This window comes from Homo sapiens, chromosome 14, assembly GCF_000001405.40.
Source record: "Homo sapiens chromosome 14, GRCh38.p14 Primary Assembly".
Taxonomy (NCBI): Eukaryota; Metazoa; Chordata; class Mammalia; order Primates; family Hominidae; genus Homo; species Homo sapiens.
In genome coordinates, this window is record NC_000014.9 from 50,334,315 (window position 1) to 50,349,678 (window position 15,364).

General features: G+C 43.5%; 1 protein-coding gene across 16 annotated transcripts in view, besides 2 other annotated features; it reads right to left on the reverse strand.

Moving 5' to 3' along the window:
* CDKL1 (cyclin dependent kinase like 1) overlaps positions 1-15,364 on the reverse strand; it is a 71,034-nt gene that overhangs the window by 8,050 nt on the left and 47,620 nt on the right. For 14 of the 16 annotated variants that reach the window (NM_001367064.3, NM_001423763.1, NM_001423767.1 and 11 more), the window contains 5 exons: positions 10,672-10,744; positions 7,818-7,908; positions 6,718-6,918; positions 4,633-4,715; positions 251-307 (listed from right to left, as the gene is read on the reverse strand). In NM_001367064.3, coding sequence (NP_001353993.2) covers positions 251-307; positions 4,633-4,715; positions 6,718-6,918; positions 7,818-7,908; positions 10,672-10,744 — 505 coding nt within the window. Of the gene's footprint in view, positions 1-250; positions 308-4,632; positions 4,716-6,717; positions 6,919-7,817; positions 7,909-8,065; positions 9,964-10,671; positions 10,745-15,364 lie in introns of those variants that run through there. The other 2 variants (XM_005268160.5, NM_001423764.1) reach the window with 2 other exon arrangements.
* Positions 1,229-1,850: an enhancer, noted in NCBI's record as "OCT4-NANOG-H3K27ac-H3K4me1 hESC enhancer chr14:50802261-50802882 (GRCh37/hg19 assembly coordinates)". NCBI's record gives its function as "activates a minimal SCP1, AML or CMV promoter by ChIP-STARR-seq in naive H9 embryonic stem cells {active_cell/tissue: H9 hESC(naive)}" and the evidence as "EXISTENCE:reporter gene assay evidence [ECO:0000049][PMID:30033119]".
* Positions 13,197-13,491: an enhancer, noted in NCBI's record as "tiled region #14884; K562 Activating DNase unmatched - State 5:Enh". NCBI's record gives its function as "activates a minimal TATA promoter and a strong SV40 promoter by Sharpr-MPRA in K562 cells {active_cell/tissue: K562}" and the evidence as "EXISTENCE:reporter gene assay evidence [ECO:0000049][PMID:27701403]".

Here is a 15,364-nt window from a genome sequence, read left to right on the forward strand (position 1 = left end):
CCTAATTTTTTTTATTTTTAGTAGAGACGGTTTCACCATGTTGACCAGGCTGGTTTTGAACTGACCTCAGGTGATCTGCCTGCCTTGGCCTCCCAAAGTGCTAGGATTACAGGTGTGAGCCACTGCCCAGCCAGGAGAAGAATTCTAAAAGGAACACTTTTCATTGCATGGATTGACATAAGTAATTCAGATTCCCCAGTGATGACAACTGCTGTGTGCTTCCTGGTCTGTTGGAAGCCATGATTTTTACCTTTAGGAGCCCCAGGGCAGGATAAGAGATGTTTGGGAATTTTAATTCAAGTGGTTCCTGTTGAAAAGAAAAGAGGTTTTTAATTTACAGCATGTATTCAAATTAAGGTTACCTCAAATTAAATCTTTTGATAGAAACATTTTCCTGGCACCTTCCTCACGTCCTCCACCCTTTGCCCACCCAACCTCCTGCCCAAAACAGTCTCCCTTTGCCTTTTTCACAAGCTTTCTCTCCCCACCTCCAAATCGCTTTTCCAAATTTGCTTCGTAACTACTCCCTTAACTTCCTGCTCTGATACCAATGGAGATAGCAAATTATAAATAAAAATACTAATGAAAAAAAACTTTTCTGAGCAGTTTTTTTTTTGAGGGGGTGGGGGGGCTCAAGTTATATAACTTGCCTTTCCTGAGAATAATTTTTGGCATTTATAGTGTGATTTATAAAAAGGTAGCTGGCTGGGTGCGGTGGCTCATGCCTATAATCCACTCAGGCCAAGTCTGATGGCTTGAGCCCAGGAATTTGAGACCAGCCTGGGCAACATGATGAAACCCTGTCTGTCTCTCTAAAAAAAATACCAAAAAACTAGCTGGGGGTGGTGGTGTGCGCCTCTAGTACTAGCTACTTGGGAGGCTAAGGCGGGAGGATGGCGTGGGTTTGGGAGATTGAGGCTGCAGTAAGCCATAAATGTGCCACTGCACTCCAGCATGGGCGACAGAGCAAGACCCTGTCTCAAAAAAAAAAAAAAAAAAAAAAAAAGGCAGCTCTAATTCTAATTATATAAAGGGAGCTGCAAAATAGATGTTTTTCCCCTACCCAGGTGAACAGATGCTTCTTGATTTTCTGGAATAAACACTGTTGTCTCCTCCCACTAGGGCCTGCTGCTTCCCTTCTCAGCCTGCTGTTTAAACAGTCTCCTGTGGGGCATTCGTCAATCTCCTTTTGGCCGTATAAGGCGATTTTGCGCCAGTCACGTGCTGGAGACAATCAGGAATAACACTATAAATGGGAGGAATGCCGAATGTCAGGCAGACAAACAGGCCAGTTAAAGAGACATACCACTGACAAAGGCTAATTGAGCAGAGAGGCTGAGAAAATAAGAGCCAGCCAAGCTGAGCAAAATAAGTGACTGCAGTGCATTGTGTGTATAAAAGTGGCAGTGTGTGAGCTGCCGACTGGAGTGACTGGCCAGGCTCATCTAATCAAACAGTCCTGGTGCTGTGGCCAGCTTTCACAGTACAGTATTATTTTGGACAGGCAACCAGCTCCCAATAACCAATTCTGGATTGTACACATACTAATCATTGATAAGAGTAGGAGAGAAGAGCCTCTGTTTCAGAGTTCCCTATGTCAACAGGAGAAAAAAAAAATCCTAAAGTAGGTTTGTATTAGCCCTTGACAGTAGCCCCTGTTGCACCCTCATACTTCCACTCATGCTCCATAGCTTAAATATTTCTCTTGTTCTTTCTGTCGGTTGAATCTGAGCATCACTGGGGTTTGACGTGCCATTGCTATATCATCGAGCTCTGCTGTCTCAGCAACAATGTCTGGATGAGGCCAACTGGTTGCCTGTGATACGCTGGAGCCCATCTGTGAGCGTTTCACAGCCCCAGAAGCAAGCAGGCCTCCCTCTGTCAGGGTTACTGACAGGCAGAGGGACTGGGGCACAGATGTTCAACCAGTGCAGCCCCCGCACTGCCTCTTCCTGTGTTTCTGTCAACAGGAAATCTGCAGGACAATCTCTGGGAAGCCATGGGAAGCTTCTTACATTTATGAAACCTGGGTTATTTCTGAGGCTTCACCAACAGACAAGTGAACAGGAAATCACTAGGGATATTTAGTGCACAACTGGGAATGTCCAGATCACAAGGAAGCCAGATGGGTCACCTCCCATATGTCAGGTGTCATTCCTGCCCCTCCGTCCCAGCAAGACCCACTTTGAATGCTAGTGCTACAGGAGGAAGAGGCAGTGGAGAAGCAGAAACCTTCATTGTGGGACAAGCCAAGAGGTTAGGGAACAAACAAAACACAAGTGGTAGAGACAGAACTTCCATCTGAAAACTGAAGGGTTTAGTGAGAAACTGGAGGGTTAGTTTCATTTTTAAGATACCTTCCTCAGTAGAAACTCAAGATTTCACAGACCTTAATTATGCTCTGAAATGTTTTTGATTACAATACAGGCTCATTAGAAGACATTCAAAAATATAAAAAATCATAAAGTTACCCCAAAATCCCACCCAAAAGAGATATCCACTCTTAGTATTTTGATATATATCCTTGCAGCCATTTATTTCACAAATGTAAAAAAAAAAAGCTTTGTGATTTCCCAGATGTTGTCACATTATTTTGTATTTATATATGTAAATATATGTATATATGCATTGTGTGCATATTACATTTTTATTAAAACTTTGTCAAATTATACATACTGGTTTTTTTGTTTGTTTTGTTTTTGTTTTTGTTTTGAGACGGAATCTGGCCCTGTTGCCCAGGCTGGAGTGTACTGACGTGATCTCGGCTCACTGCAACCTCCACCTCCCAAGGTCAAGCCGTCTTCCCACCTCAGCCTCCCAAGTAGCTGGGACTACAGGTGTGTGCCACCGTGCCTGGCTAATTTTTGTATTTTTAGTAGAGACAGGGTTTCATCATGTTGCCTAGGCTGGTCTCGAACTCCTGGGCTCAAGCGATCCACCTGCCTCGGCCTCCCAAAGTGCTGGGATTACAGGCGTGAGCCACCATGCCCAGCCTACACTGTTTTATAACCGTCTTTTTTTTTTTTTTTTAACTACATGGTATTTCTTATTTTTAGAGACAGAGTTTTGCTCTGTCACCCAGGTTGGAATGCAGTGGCATGATCATAGTTTACTGTAACCTCAAACTCCTGGGCTCAAGTGATTCTCCTGCCTCAGCCTCCCAAGTAGCTGGAGCTATAGGCATGTGTCTCCAACCCCAGTTAGTTTTAAAAATATTTTGTAGAGACAGGGTCTTGCTATGTTGCCCAGGCTGGTCTAGACCTCCTGTGCTCAAGCAATATTTCACCTCAGTTGTCTCCTGAGTTGCTAGAATTATAGGTGTGGGCCACCGCACCTGGCTCTGTATGGTATTTCTTTTTTTTCTTTCTTTTTTTTTTTTTTTGGTTCGGAGACAGGGTCTTACTCCTGTCGCCCAGGCTAGAGTGCAGCGATCTCAGGTCACTGCGGCCTCAACTTCCTAAGCTCAGGTGATCCTCTCACCTCAGCCTCCTGAGTAGCTGTGACTACAGGTGCGTGCCACCATGCTAGGCCAACTTTTTGTATTTTAGTAGAGACAGAGTTTTGTCTTGTTGCCCGTGCTGGTCTCGAGCCCCTGATCCACCTGCCTCAGCCTCCCAAAATGCTGGGATTACAGGCATGAGCACACCTGGCCTGATGAGGTATTTCTATTGTAAGGATGTACCATACATAATCCCCTACTGATGGAATACTAAAGGAAATAATTTCTATTAAATAATGCCACATCTTTATGCTCTTGGATTATGGTTTCACAGGAATAAATTGTTGGAAGTGGATTAGGGGTATAAACATTTCAAATTTTTCTGCTTTTAAAAAATGGGCTTCCCCCATTTGGGTTGGCCATAATAGAGGGTAAGCACCAGAGTAAGGCTGGCTAAGGAAGTTTTTATTTATTTATTTATTTTGGAAAGAGTCTTGCTCTGTCGCCCACCCAGGCTGGAGTACAGTGGTGTGGTGCAATATCGGCTCACTGCAACCTCCACCTCCTGGGCTCAAGCAATTCTCCTGCCTCAGCCTCCTGAGTAGCTGGGATTACAGTCATGTGCCACCATGCCTGGCTAATTTTTGTAATTTTAGTAGAGACAGTGTTTCATCATGTTGGCCAGGCTGGTCTGGAACTCCTGACCTCAGGTGAGGTCTCCTGCCCATCTCGGCCTCCCCAAAGTACCAGGATTATAGCGTGAACCATTGCACCCAGCCCAAGGAAGTTCATTATGATTTTTCCCATGGTCTGGAGACCATGGGCATAGTAGAGTAGGGAATTTGGACAATGCTGGGGAAAAACTAGTTAACTTTACCTTGATAGGTCTAGGTCTAAAAGTTGGTTGGCTCTAAGCTACCTAGGTTCAACTGCTAAGAAATGATAAAGGACAGGTGTGGCTCCAGCAGGCAGGCAGCGCTGCCTTCCTATGCAACAGGCTGGCTAGACTCTGTTATCAGCAGCCTCTAAATGAGCAGTAAGGCTAAAGTCTCGCTAGCCAATTTGCTCCAATTTTCTTTTTCTCTGTTAGACTGACCTCCAATGCAGGGTGAGCCATGGGGCTCAGGAGGTGAATAACAACCAAAGCCTAGCTAGCCTGGCCTACAGAGCTCTCTCCAAAATGGGTAACTCACCATATCTTCAGGGTCTGGAATTTTCACTCCACTGAAGTACTGATTCGTGCTAAACACTTGCTGGTGCCTAGGAATGAGATCCCCTTTGGACAAGAAAAGAAAAAGGTAAGTGAAATTGGTTAGCAAACACTGATCTATGGTTTTCTTCCATCAATGCTGTGTTTGTCTGTGCCCATATGCATGGACACTGCAGTGTTCTTGGGCAATCAGAAGGAGAGGCATTCAGGCAACCCACAGCAACCTGTATTGATCCCTACGGTGGACAGCACACTGTGTTAGGCACAGAGGAGGCAAGCAACAGAAACTGAGGGCTACAAGCTTCTTGCTCTCAGGTTCTTGTTCTCAGAGCCTACAGTGTACTGAAGGAACCCAAACCAAACAACTCAGAAGCACATGCACACAAATAAAATAATGCCTTTTAAAAAACAGCAAAACGGCAACAACCACAAATCAAAATCATATTAACTGAATCCTGATAGGTGAAGATAAAATTTTATTGCCCTAGCACTTATAACAGTGTCTAACATAGAGCAAGCACTCAATAAATATTTGAAGAAGGAAGAGAGGGAGGGAGGAAGAGAGGGAGGGAGGGAGGGGAGGGGAGGGGAAGGGAAGGAAGGAAGAAATCACGGATTTTCTAGCTAGAAGGAATACATTTCCACATTGGGACCATCTTTTCTTATTTCACCAGTTAGCAATCACATGGAAATCCCATTTCATCTACTGTTTAGAAGCACTTACAATGTGACATAATGAAACAAGAAGAGTATTTCTATATTTTAGGGGACTCTAGGAAGCTCCTCCTGCCCACATTTCCATCACATCAGCTAAAATCCCCTTTATGTAAAATTCTATATTACACTTGAAGAGGGATTTTGTTCAGAGAATATAGGGAGATACTCAAAGGTGTTCTCCTGGGGCACAACCAGGCCCATTTCCCAGAGCACTGTGGGAGTTCCTACTCCAGGGTATCAAATTATTACTGATGCATCCTAGAAATTTACCTCTCACTCAAATGCAAAAACTGCTGCCTCGCCTCATTTTGGGTGAGCAACCAAGATATACCCTCAATGCCTTGTCCCAGATCTCAGTGAGCAGCATCATGAGCACAATTCCTTGCACCTTAATAACCTTCTTCCTCCAGTGCCAGAGGGGTGACATGGGGAGGCTGTCCTAAAATCACTAGAGGAAACACAGCCAAGAAAGGCTGAGTGCCCCTGGAAGGCCTACAAAGCGCCTTCCATGTCACCCAACAAAGTCAAGCTATCAGCAAACATTTATTGCCTACAATGTGCAGACACTGGTGGAGGGTAAGTAGAAATATAAGACGTGGTCTCACCATCAGGAAGTTTACAGTATCTTTGGGAAGATAAGATTACAAGGGAAGGCATGGCGATGGCAGTTCCTACAAGAGTTTAGAGGAGGAAAAGTTTACCTTAAACTGCGATACTCAGGCGAGTAGTGTCTAAACTCCCTGACTTTGGAAGAGGGCAATCACTACTGATGGGTTTTTTTTTCTCATCTTCCCTCCCTTCTCCCCTGCCCTTCCCCTCCGCCTCCAAGGGTAGAGAGAAAGGAAAGGGCACTGGGGTGGGAAAGCAAGACGGACTGAGTGACATTACAACTAGCTTTCCTCCTGACACTTAGAAGGTTGGGAATCATTCTCCATAGAGTCTGAATAATCCAAACTAGTCAGGCAGGCTGGGATTAAGGACATCCAAATGGATTACCCCATCGTCATAAACAAGGTAAACCATGAAAGCATTCTGTAAACTGCTAAGCCCTTACAGAAATGTGAGTTTTTATTGTTGTTATTGTCATTATTAATGTTTTAACTTGATCCAAACTGCTCAAGAATCTTGGGTTGTTTTTGGACAATGAGTAAGTACTCAATAATTGTTAACTATTTTAATTAAAACAAATATGGCCACCTTTAATGGAGTCATTTAAATGAGGCTTCGAGTTTTCCTCTTTCCTAACTAATGCCTTAAAGGGCATTAGGTGAGACTGAGAACTTGGCTCTGCCCTGCCCCAACCTGGGGAAATATCCAGTTTTCCAAAAGGTGGGACAAAAACACCACTTACCCAAGGTCTTCCTAATCAGATACAGCTGATCCACATCCGATTTTCCTGGCCACAGAGGCACTCCTGACAGCAGCTCAGCAAAGACACAGCCAATTGCCCAAACATCCACCGGGGGGCCGTACTGCGTGTCCCCCACCAGCAGCTCAGGGGAGCGGTACCACCTGGTAGCCACGTAGTCTGTATAGTAGTCACTCGGTCCAGCTAGCCAGTGATGGAACATGGAAAACAAACAGCAGCGGAAGGCTGGAATCAAAACTGAGGGGGAGATCTCAGAAGTCAAGCCTGTGCCCAATTTTGTGGCCTTTCTATATCGCTGGTTCTCAATTCTAGTTGCACATTCAAATCACTTAAATAAATATTTTGTAAATTACTGATGCTCAAGCCACACTCCAGTCCAATTAAAACAGAATCCCTGGGGAGGGTCTGGGGGGGGGGGGGGGGTTATTTGGCTTAGAATTTAAAGTTCCCTGGGCACAGCGGCTCACACTTGTAATCCCAGCACTTTGGGAGGCCGAGGTAGGTGGTTTGCTTCAGCCCAGGAGTTCGAGACCAGCCTGGGCAATGTGGTGAAACCCCGTCTCTACAAAAAAAATACAAAACTTAGCCAGGTGTGGTGGCTCATGCCTGTAGTCCCAGCAATTCAGGAGGCTGAGGTGGGAGGATCACCTGAACTGGGGAGGTCGAGACTGTGGTGGGCTGTGACTGTGCCACTGCACTCCAGCCTGGGCAACAGAGTGAGACCCTGTCTCAAAAAAAAAAAAAAAAAGTTCCCCAGGTGATTCTAATCTGCCTCCAAGGTTGAAAGCCACTATTCTAAAGTAGCACTTCTGAAAAGTATTTTAGCAAGAAATGGTAGAAATCAGGGAGGTAAGATACTTTTTAATAACTACTTTACTGTGGTATAATTTATGGATAGCATACATAGGTAAACCATTGTATTATCTACACATTTTCGGTAATTACAAAATTATAATTTATAGCACACTTATGCCCTAAATATACAAGTACTATCTTGTATACTTCTAGAGCATTTAGATCCTTTGTTGTATCAAGAACTTTTTCATTTTTTATACTTAACAAAAGAAAATGTCAATACTCACTCAAAAGCCGAGCAAATCCAAAGTCACAAAGCTTAATCACGGAATGTTTCGTGATGAGGATATTTTCTGGCTTCACGTCTCTATGTATGCACTAGTGTAACAAATCAAAACAAAAACAATATTAAGGCTGAACTATATATGGGATAAATGAAACACATGACTATTTAGCAAATATTGGATAAATCATTTAAATCTCTCCTTGGCCTGTTGGACAACAGCAAAAGAGCAGCCTAAAATAAATCTAGTACCATGCCTGTCAGAGCCTGAATCATCCCAAATTCCTAAAAGGCCCAAAAGAGCCAAGAAGAGTGAAAGGAAAATGAAAGTAGGGTAGCCGGTCTTAGCAGAGAAAAATACAGGACACCCAGTTAAATTTGAATTTCAGATAAACAAATAATTTTTTTAGGATAATACATCCCATGAAGCACTTGGGATGTACTTATACTAAAAGTTATGCTTGTTTATCTGAAATTCAAATTTAACAGGGTGTCCTGTATTTAATCTGACAGTTTTAGGTGAAAGGGAAAATGTTGAAAGGTCCGGGTGAGGCTGCATCATGGTTGCAGGAGCTGCAAATTGGTGCATAAGCAGAATTCACAATTCAGTTGTTTAACTGTGAACAGAACACAGTCAGCCTCGTAAACAGGACAAGCCCTGGGCCTGCTGAGATAAGCTGGGAAGAGAAGGGTGGCAACCACAGCTTGCCAAGAGATTTCCCTTCCAGCTCTGACATTCATCCGGACAAGATAAACAAGAGTAGGCAGCAGCCCTCACCCTCTGGGGAGAGTCGCTAGATGTCAGCTCTGTCCCACACACAAGTGCTCTGAGAGCTGCAGCCACCCCTCGAGATGCGGCCCCCCCTCCAGAATTTAGACTCAAATCACCTGTGGTTTCCAGCCCACAGCCAACATTCTTAAACAGGGTGATCTTAGAGAAAAGAACGTTTGAGAATCTTCACATGATTTTCTCATTAAATGACAATTTCTTTGGCAAAGAACAAATCAACAACCTAATTAAGAGTTACTTTTTTTTTTTTTTTTTTTGAGTTGGGTCAAAATACTGCTCAGGGTCCCTAATAATCTTCCTCTTTCCCAAGTGTTTTCCTCTTAGGAGGAGAATGCTAGATCGTTTGCAACCTGAGAGACCCTCTTTGGCCTGCAGCCTGAAACCCTGGGGTTATTCTTAAGAATCTGGAGAGGACTTGGGTTCTTCTTGGGCATGACCAGTTCTCACTCCAAAGGACCTTCAGGATGAGAGATCAGTGTCAATGTTTCCCCATGGGTATTTATTATTCTGGAAAATTTGGGGTAAATAAAACAACTTTGGGATTTTATTATAATCGATCTGGTTCTTAGCAATTAACATCCTGAGATCTCTATTCTTTTTACCACTGGCTTCACATATTGCTATAAATGGGTACACCATGAATATCATGATGACATATGGTCAGAAGTACTTGTAAGCAAGCATGTGCTCCTATTCTGTTCTGGGAATTCTTTACAAGTTTCTGCACCCACCCCCATCAGCACATGGAGCCAAACAGGGTGTCTGGGGCTCTCCAGGGAACTGTGGTATGCATTATATTTGTTTTTAGCATCCCAGATCTGCCCTACCAGGGTCTTGGTGCAGTCTCTCTTGCTCCCCCATCCTAAAACCTGCTCTTGAAAGAGTGGTAAGTCATAGTAACTAACAATATGGGTGTCCACTCTCCCCTGTGTATTACAAGGATTATAGCCTTTAGCTAGTTGGAGGCTCCTCAGGGAGAAGTGCTGTCTACTCTCATACTTCCTCCTTCCGGGAATGCAGCATCAGGAAAAATCATTTGGAACAATATAAAGAAGGAGATTTAGCCCTACCACCTAAATTGACCCTGGCAGTTGAGTAAGATAAAACATTGCAGTGAAATTGCACTCATGGCCAAAACGAAGCTCTAACTTTGGAATCTGGTTTCTATGCACAGTGGGCAGTATTGTATTGGATGGGGCAGCAGGCTTCCCAGCATCTGTGAAGTCACGTCACCTGGGCAATAGTCTACTATGCCTCTACCAGCCGCCTGTGGCCAGGAGTGTCACAGGCTTTCGATAGGTTGCTTGGTTCGAGACTCGACACTCATATCTCACCAAAGCAGACACTGGCACTTTGCACTGGGTTTGGGGTTCCACCTACTGCAACTGACATACTGCAGCTAAGCAGGCATGAATCACCTGGGGTTTTCCCCAATTTCATAGCCTTTTGGGAGTACAAGACCACATAGACTCCAAGTGAATGGGGTTCTACCTTAAATCTGAGTAGTTTCTAAGCAGTATAAATGTATGACTAATTTTTTGTTCTTTGTGGTTTTTTTTTTTTTTTTTTTGAGACAGGGTCTCATTCTGTCATCCAGGTTGGAGTACAGTGGCATGATCTTGACTCACTGCAGCCTCGACCTCCCCAGCTCAAGTGATCCTTCCACCTCAGCCTCCTGAGTAGCCAGGACCACAGGCACACACCACCGCACCCAGTTCATTTTTTTTTATTTTCTGTAGAGACAGGGTTTTGCCATGTTGTCCAGGCTGGTCTTGAACTCCTGGGCTCAAGTGATCTGCCTACCTTGGCCTCCCAAAGTCCTGGGATTACATGCAGGAGCCACCATGCCTGGCACTAGTTTCTTAAAATCATAAAAATGCATGTTTTATATAACCTGAGCAAGAAGGAATAGCTAGGTTGGCATTTTTAGCCTATACTTACCCAACCAGGCTTATGAAGATTTGGGTAAAAAATTTTACCCACAGAAGTGTGACATAAACTTTGTACAAGGCTCCACCTCAGCTTAAGGGGAGCCTTGTTGCTTTTCAAAAGAGATCATGAGACTTACATTGTGTTTATGGCAAAAATTTACAGCTTGCAGTGTCTGCCAAGTTATGCTCTTCACGAGATGTTCTGGTACCCTAATAAAAATAAAGCAGCACAAACACATTCTTTAGTGTAGCCATGGAATTCAGCTCAAGAAAAGAAAAAATAAACGAAGATAGGCTTTAGTAGTGAAAAATCTTAGGTGACACATAGTCATCTTACTCATCAATCATTCCATGAATCCAAAATGTAAAAATATGCGACCAGCACACCGCTGAAGTCTAGGGAGAACAGGTTAACAAAAATGCAAACATCTACTTCTTTGGTAAGGACATGAAAACCTACAGGGATTTCAACAAGTATTTATAACCACCTATCTCAAACATCTGTGACACCACTGGGAAACTGCCTGGTAACTTAAGCTCCATTTTCACAAGGAATTTTTTATTGATGTAAAGTTAAGTTACTATTCAGCACAAAAGATGCTGTTTATTTTCTCAAGTTGCCCCAAACAGACAGCCTTGAAGCAGGACTCATCTTCCATGTGTGGGCATGTGGTCTCTCAGAGCAGCATTGCTGTTGTTTGTTTGGTTTTTTAGATAATGAAGACTTTACTGATTATAGCAAAGAGCTTTACATTGCAAACCATTCTATTTGTTTTTTAGCATCCCAGATCTGCCCTACCAGGGTCTTGATGCAGTCTCTCTTGCTCCCCCATCGTAAATTGTTATTAAATGTTAATAATAATTTAAAAACCTGAGGCATCCTGGTTCTTTCCCTATGCTGCCATGGCAGCCAGCTGCAGCCCAGGTACATCTTTCTACTCTCTCCTCCATCACCACAGCTAAACTTCAAGCCACTGCTCCCAGTACTTCTTCCCTGACTCACATCTTTTATTACCAGGGCAACCAGTAGTTCCAGCAGGTACTTTGTGTGAATTAGAAAGAGGCATCTCGCCTGGAAACATTTAAAACAACAACAAACCAAGGCAGGGAGTGTAAGAAACGAACCACAGAGAGAGTGCATTTATTTTCTGAGACCCCAACCCACTGGCTGGACTTACTGTTTTGATAAACATTCCACAGTGTTGCTGTGGTCCTCAGCCAAAACGAATAAGTAAATCAGGGAGGAAGCTCTTGAGTAGCTGTGTTAAGGGGACTACAAAAAGTCACTTGTAGCCTCTGAGAGAGGCTACAAGGCCACTGTTGTCACAGGCCAGACGTTCAGGAAATCCTTTCAAGCAGATCAGGGGGTGTTTGAACAGAGAGTGGGATCACATGAAGGAAAGGAAGAGGCCACTTCCAGGAAGGCTAGTTGGGACATTGCTGGACCAGGTCTATGTCCCTGTGTTTGAAGTTGCTTCTCTCCAAATTCTCTTTTCCTTGTTTGAGCGGCATATAGGCATAGATGCTAGAAAAAGTCACTGTCGAGAAAAAAGGCTTAGAAAAATGCAACTAAGATGAGACATTAGGGGGAATGCTTTTCCCCAGCCTCCACTTTTAATTTTTTTTTTTTAGGGTCAGGGTCTTGCTGTGCTGCCCAGGCTGGAGGCAGTGGTGCTATCATAGCTCACTGAACTTTGGACTCCTGGACTTAAGGGATCCTCCTGCCTCAGCCTTCCCAGTAGCCTCTACATTTTGTCCAGAAAAATGGAATATATTTTGATTATTCAATAAATTAAATTTTTGGTTTTTTTTTTTTTTTTGAGATGGAGTCTTGCTCTGTCACCCAGGCTAAAGTGCAGTGGTACAATCTCAGCTCACTGCAAACTCTGCCTCCCAGGTTCAAGCGATTCTCCTGCCTCAGCCTCCAGTAGCTGGGATTACAGGTGTGTGCCACCACACTCAGCTAATTTTTGTATTTTTAGTAGAGACAGAGTTTCACCATGTTGACCAGGCTGGTCTCAAACCCCAGACCTCAAGTGATACGCCCACCTCAGCCTCCCAAAGTGCTGGGATTACAGGTGTGAACCACCATGCCCGGCCTGCAAATTAAGTATTAATATAGGGTTACCAGTACCAGGCAACTTTAGTTCCTACAAACATTTCCCCAAATAAATTATATAAAAGGAGCATATAAAAGTAAATTATAGTTGCATATCATTATTGCTCCTTTAATCCCCAGCACAGCTAATCCCCAGAATTACAAAACTCTCAAATGTAAAAACTCTGTACAAACTACTTAGTGCCATCTTGAACTGGCTACTCACTTCACTTCTTTACTCAGTTTCTTTTCTGTAATGCAGAGGCCTCAGACTCTGAGATCCCTTTTAGCTGAAACACTCATAATAAGAGGGGCCAGTTTTTCACTGTTGGAGAAGGGAGTTACAACTATAAAAAGGGGAAAAATAGATAGAATATATTCTGTGGTGTTGGATTTAGAGAGAGAGAGAGAGAGACAGCGTGAGAGTGCTGTGCTAGAAGGGGTTGATCACCTTATATAGGATGGCCCAGAAAGGTTCTCTGGTTAAGGGAACATCTAAAATAGTGGTTAAGTGGTGAGAAGTGGCCAGATTTGGGCTATATTTTTAAAATAGAGCTTCCAGGATTTTCTGAGGGATTGGATGTGGGAGAAAGAGAAGAATCAAGGAATGACATCAGGTTTTTAGCTTGAGTAACTGGTACACAGTGGTGCCTTTTACTCAGGAGAACACTGGAGGGGAAACTGGTTTGGGGGAAGGGAATGCTTACTGGACACCCAAAGGAAGACTGTGAGTCAGCAATTCTACATTCAGAAGGAAGGTCAGGCTGGAAATATGAGTTTGAGAAGCATAGCATATGGGTGGTATTTGGGGCCTAGGACTGAATGAAGCCAATTAAGGAGTGAATCCAGCTAAAGAAGAGGAGCTCGGAAGGAAGCTGTGAGACCCTTCCCCACAGAGGAGCAGAAAGAGGAAGGGGACCCCACAAGGGCACCTGAGTTGAGAGCATCAAGTGAATAAGACAACACTCAGGAGAATACAGTATCACAGGACCAACTGAAGAAAGTGTGTCAAAGGACTTCTGAATTAAGATGATGGATTAAGCAAGCCCAGCTAATTTTGTTCCCTCCTGAAACCTGACTAGAACTACGCTGAAGACTTCTAAAGACAAAACCTCACAAGGTCAGAGAGGACAGGAGAAGAGATAACAGCAACACAATGTGGAATCCAGAAAGCAACTGAATGAAAGATAATTAACTTAACAATCCTAGAAAGCGAAAATCTAAGCCAGGAGAGGGAAGGTGGAGAACCAACCAATTCATCCAGAAAGAATCCTCAAAAGGCTCGGGAAGTAGCAGCCAAAGTCTCTATGGAACTAGGAGCTAAGGAGTATGGAAAAAACTGTTTAGAAAATAATTAAATCCCTAGATCCCCTCCTCTATCATTTGCCCATAGGGAAACACTCTCCACTACTGGGCAGAAGGCTGGAGCTTTGTTTCTGGAAAGGATAAAGCAGAGGACATTTGGCATACGTGAGATTGTGGATACCGTTCTGAAAATGTGGATACTGTTCTGAAAACAGGGGATTAAAGGACTGTACACATACAAAATGCTGAATGCTGGGATTCCCCACCCCTCTTCCCTCACTAGACTCTGGGAAACCCGGCAGGCAGACTTCACTCTCCAGGCACAATATTCAAAGACTTTTTTGGGAGAAGCTCAGAGGGAAAGCTCTGAAGATTCTGACACTGGGGTTCCACCAGCAAATGGCCCAGCTAGAAAACCATAGTGAAGCTCAGAGCTTCCAGTAGTTCCTTGTTCTTAACTATGAGCATATAACCAGAGACTATATGATGCCCAAGAAAAGCCTCTAATAAGAAAGTAGAAGACCAGAACAAACAGAAAAAAGCAACTTAAAAGAAACAGAAATTATGGAGGATGAAGAGAACATTTTTAAATACCATTAATATCCTCAGAGAGAACAGGAAAGCTGTTGTATCCATGAAATAAGAACAGGATACTACAAGAAAATGGGAGGACCAGTTCAAGAGTCCACATCCCAATAATAGAGGGTACAGAAAAAGAAAATAGGTAAAACAATGAACAGGAAGTCAATAACAAAACAATTCAAAAATTTTTTTCTGAGGCAGAAAAGGCCCAGCAAGTGCCAGGATAATGGATGAAAATCAAGACACACTCATGAGTTTCATAATCAAAAACACTGAGCACAAAGAGAATCTCCTACAAGTTTCTGGAAAAAGAAACAGGACTTCACAAGAGAGCAGAAAATAGAATGGCATCAGGCTTCTTGGCACTAGAAGATAGAAGACACTAAAATAATGACTTCAAAAATTTGAAGGAATATTATCTTCAACCAAAAACCAATAAACAAGCCTATATCCAAACAAAATACCAAACCAGTGTGAGGATAGAATAAAGCATGTGAGGGCAAGGTCTCAACCTCTTATTTGTTCCTGTACCTCTCATCTGCTCTTTCTCAGGAAGCCCCTCATGGATGCAGTCCACCAGAAAGGAGCAGTCCATTATCAAAGAAGATTATGTGGGCTGGAGACCCAATGCAGGAGGGAAGCAGCAGGAGTTTCTGGGAGGATGGCAGAGGGAGATGACGGGATAACTGCACTCCAGGTGGCAAAAGCAACCCATCCTGACAGGACAGTGTGACCCAAGAGCCATGCACAGTAAGGGGTATCATCGCCATGCCCTCTGCCTCATGCAATCTTAAATAAATATGAATATATTCAACAAACTTAACAGCTCTGGAAGAGTCTGGGTG